At 35.4% G+C, this 4,944-nt stretch overlaps 1 annotated feature.

Annotated features, from left to right (window-relative positions):
- Window positions 550-750: a silencer, noted in NCBI's record as "peak4181 fragment used in MPRA reporter construct". NCBI's record gives its function as "represses an SCP1 promoter by STARR-seq MPRAs in K562 erythroleukemia cells {active_cell/tissue: K562}" and the evidence as "EXISTENCE:reporter gene assay evidence [ECO:0000049][PMID:32103011]".

The raw sequence follows: 4,944 nt of genomic DNA on the forward strand, positions 1-4,944 counted from the left end.
TGCATCCTATAATAGGTTTCTCCATTCAGAAAAATTGCTGTGATCTATTTGGGCTCCTCTTTCCTTTCCTGCAGTTTGGAAGTATCCCTATATAAAAGGCCAGCTTTAAATGTGGAGTTCACTTCAAGGATCATGACTCTATGCTGTGTGTTGTACAATGCTTTAAAATGGGCACATGGTACATTTTGTCTAGTTTTATAGTTGTTTACAGCAGAAGATTCAGTCTGAAATCCATTATTTTATTATGGCCAGAACCAGAAGTCAAGCACTCTGTTTTTTGAAAAGCACATATTGTGTACCTGCTACCTTCCATGTACCATACCAGGTGTGTTCAAATACATAGTCAAGTCAGCTTTTACTATTTGTTGTTCCCCATGAAGGGCTTACATTTTATTTTATTTTATTTTTCAGAGAGAGAGCTTAGGCAGATTGTTATTCAATATCTATGCATTTGCTCATGCTGACTATTTCTGGTATATTTTTACATACTTCCTAAATACTGTTTGTCTTGCAAGATTTATGGCACTTCTTTTTTGCATGTTTTTCTAATTCATCTCCAAAATCAACCTTTCTCAACTTCATTTGTTCATAAGATACTTTTAAATTCACCTCTGTTATAACATTTACCCTGTTGAATTTTAGTTATCTCTGTATGTGTCATAAAAACCCAGCAAAATTTTAGGCTGCAACTGCCACTTCCTCTCTTTGTGACTCAGCTTGTCACAGTTACAAGTGCACATATTAGGCCATTTCTAAGAGTTCATTGTACTGAATACATGCTACCTAATTTAACTCACATAATAACCTTGTGAGGTATATAGTATAATTATCATTATGTTTAATAAATGAATTGAGTCTCATATAAGTTATTTATTCTAGTTTACTAATGTCAGTGATAGAACTGAATTCTGAGTTCAAGCTCCGTGTTTGCAACTCTAAATCTACTAATCATCACTATACCACATTTATCATGCATTGCCTTCACTCTTGTTAGCCTGACAAATAGGAAAATAATAAAATAATCCTTAAATATCAGTACTATCTCATACAATTTCATATAACTCACACAATTTTAATCACAATTGAAAAGGTCTATACAGCTTAATTAGTCTAACTCCCCATTCAATGGTCGTATTTTCTCTACGGTATTCCTGACCATAAGACTTTGTTTTGACCCTGCTGTTTGTGTCCCCCATCCCTTAAAGCAATCCATGTATGCTAGTAATTATTAATTCCTTAGAGTAGTTTACATATGCCATCCTAAAACTTGTATCCACCATTTCTTTCTCCACCCTTAATGGCTGTATACAATTTTTCCCCTTGGTCATTCATTGGCAAGCCCTCAGATATTTGAAAACAACTAATGTTGCCTTAAGTCCTCTTTCTTTCAAGGTAAGCATCTTTAGTTGCTTTTCTTTGCTCTTCTTCTTAGATTGGTTTCTACTGTTTACATCAAATATTTTCTGTTTGTGGACAAGATTTTAAGAAATGTAAAACTATGAAACATACTGTCCTGTATGATCATACTAATCTGTGAGGTTATTATAATCTTAGGTGTTATTACAAAGCTTTTACTTTCCCTTTCCAAGATGAACAACACAGCAAGATGAATAAAGAAAATTTTCCCTCTAGTAACTAGAAGAGTTAGATAACTATGATTTACAGATGAAAACCTAGGGCCAGAGCCTTCCTGTAGGATATTAGACTTCCTTTTCAAGACGTGGCCCCCTATATAATGTTTTTAAATTATCTGCCCTCTTCCTTCAATTCTGTCACTCTGTTATGTCCTTTGAAAAAAGACAGTGAAGGAGTTATATTTGGAAATATGCCCCATATTTTTTCTGATCACTAGAATGCAGAGGTGGACATGAATTTTATGAGTCTGTAGAGTTAGGGAGTAAATATTTTAAGTAATTAATTCTACAATATTAAAAACAGCTCTCACCATAAATCAACAGCTGAATGGTGGGAGTTGGACATAATGGAGAAAATATGGACTAAAGAGATTATGAATAAGTATTGTAGAGAATCCATATTTTAATTGGGTGAATTAAGTAAACTCTTGGATGGATTAAAAGGTTAGATTCTGGTTGGATGTGGTTTTCCCTTATGTTCCAGAAATATGTCAACTCCCGATTTACAACAAAGGCCCAAATTCACAAAAGGAGAAAGACACCTCCTTTCCTACCTATTAGAAGAAACTAATATTGCCATCAGACCATCCATATGCCATTATTATTTTATATTACTCAGATTATAATAGGCAGTGAACTTTCAATAATATATCACCTGATCTTTTGTTGTTTATATCAGAAACCAGTAATCTTTCTCTGATAAAGAGTATGAGCCCATGAGCCCATATACCTGACAAATGTGTAAAGGCAGGAGCAGTGCCCAGGTGTCCCTGAGAAGCCTATCTCTGCCACTACTTTCTTAGGGCCGCAGAGGGTACATATCTCATGCAAGCACACACTTGCCCTCACGTGTGTGCATGTTTACCCTCTGGATTAGCCCAATTCTCCATTCACCTTTAGTTTTGCCTCATATTTTGGGAGTTCGGATTAGAAAACTGATCTAATCCACTCACATTTCTGGCATCTCTAAGCTTATATGGTATCAATGACCTCATGATCCTTTAGATTTATTTTTAATATCTGAGTATTTACTTTCAAGGGTTAATTAACCTTGGTGAAATCTTAAAATCTTCAGCTAAAGATATACTACATGACAGGCATACAACTTTGGAACTGCTTTGCTATGAACCTACACAAGGTAAATTGGCAGTGGTCACATATTAAAGTAGCTGCTTGAACAAACCTTAATAGCACAGCTTTCATCTCAGGACTTATTAAGATCCAGTGGTTGCTTAGAGATAAATTAGTTTGTTTGCTATAATTTGTTGAGGAAATCACCATACAATATGCCATTAGAGTGCACATATTTCTTATAAGATACCTGTGGTAAAGCTCTTCCTGTCATCCTAAACTGGAGAACGTACTGAAATTAGCTTCATCATGAAAGTTTAGATGCAGCTGAAAATTCAGAGACAATTGCTTTATCTTAAAAGCTATTTTCACTTTTCCATTGCCACATTTAAAAGTTAAGGTTTATAGAGAAATATTCTCAAGTGATTATGGAACAAGTGCAGGAAAATAGAAACATAAAAATATGTATTTCAAGGCATCAATTCTAATTCTGCTTCTAAAAATAGTCAGTGTGCAAAGCTGCAGTTGCTGGGGTATTGCTTCAATGAAGCTGCATAGTCACCATCAACTACATTTTCAGGACCCACAATCTTCATATATATACTTTATTTTTTAATATTATAGAGAAAGACAGCGTAATAATTTGGTGGGAGCTTCCCCCTATGTATGATATAGGAAGGTAGACAAATTAGCATCTGCCCGTGCTATGATGATCACAGGAACAATCTTGCAGCTGACAATGCCAAGAAATTACTGTCCTTGAATAACGTCAAGCTTTAAATTTTTGACTACTGAAATTTCAGTAACAAATATTGCAATCAAAATTGAATTTCATAAAACTTTGGATTCATTTTACAATAGTAATATTCAGCTTCAGGTGAATAATGACATTGATACTCAGCCTTTCAGTGTTCAGCCAAATATTTATTTGGTGCGTCTCTACTTTATATATATTTGCAGATTTTAAAATATTTTTTCTGCTGTGTATCATCATAACTGATACATGTACACAAACATACAAAATCTTTTTTTTTTTAATTTTTTTTTTTATTATACTTTAAGTTTTAGGGTACATGTGCACATTGTGCAGGTTAGTTACATATGTATACATGTGCCATGCTGGTGCGCTGCACCCACTAACGTGTCATCTATCATTAGGTATATCTCCCAATGCTATCCCTCCCCCCTCCCCCGACCCCACCACAGTCCCCAGAGTGTGATATTCCCCTTCCTGTGTCCATGTGATCTCATTGTTCAATTCCCACCTATGAGTGAGAATATGCGGTGAAACCATAAAAACCCTAGAAGAAAACCTAGGCATTACCATTCAGGACATAGGCGTGGGCAAGGACTTCATGTCCAAAACACCAAAAGCAATGGCAACAAAAGCCAAAATTGACAAATGGGATCTAATTAAACTAAAGAGCTTCTGCACAGCAAAAGAAACTACCATCGGAGTGAACAGGCAACCTACAACATGGGAGAAAATTTTCGCAACCTACTCATCTGACAAAGGGCTAATATCCAGAATCTACAATGAACTCAAACAAATTTACAAGAAAAAAACAAACAACCCCATCAAAAAGTGGGCAAAGGACATGAACAGACACTTCTCAAAAGAAGACATTTATGCAGCCAAAAAACACATGAAAAAATGCTCATCATCACTGGCCATCAGAGAAATGCAAATCAAAACCACTATGAGATATCATCTCACACCAGTTAGAATGGCAATCATTAAAAAGTCAGGAAACAACAGGTGCTGGAGAGGATGTGGAGAAATAGGAACACTTTTACACTGTTGGTGGGACTGTAAACTAGTTCAACCATTGTGGAAGTCAGTGTGGCGATTCCTCAGGGATCTAGAACTAGAAATACCATTTGACCCAGCCATCCCATTACTGGGTATATACCCAAATGACTATAAATCATGCTGCTATAAAGACACATGCACACGTATGTTTATTGCGGCATTATTCACAATAGCAAAGACTTGGAACCAACCCAAATGTCCAACAATGATAGACTGGATTAAGAAAATGTGGCACATATACACCATGGAATACTATGCAGCCATAAAAAATGATGAGTTCATGTCCTTTGTAGGGACATGGATGAAATTGGAAACCATCATTCTCAGTAAACTATCGCAAGAACAAAAAAACATACAAAATCTTATGAAAGGCAAATGCAAACATATACACAAAGAACTTATTATAGGAAAATGTGAAAAAATAAA

This window comes from Homo sapiens, chromosome 20 (assembly GCF_000001405.40).
Source record: "Homo sapiens chromosome 20, GRCh38.p14 Primary Assembly".
In the NCBI taxonomy this organism is placed as follows: Eukaryota; Metazoa; Chordata; class Mammalia; order Primates; family Hominidae; genus Homo; species Homo sapiens.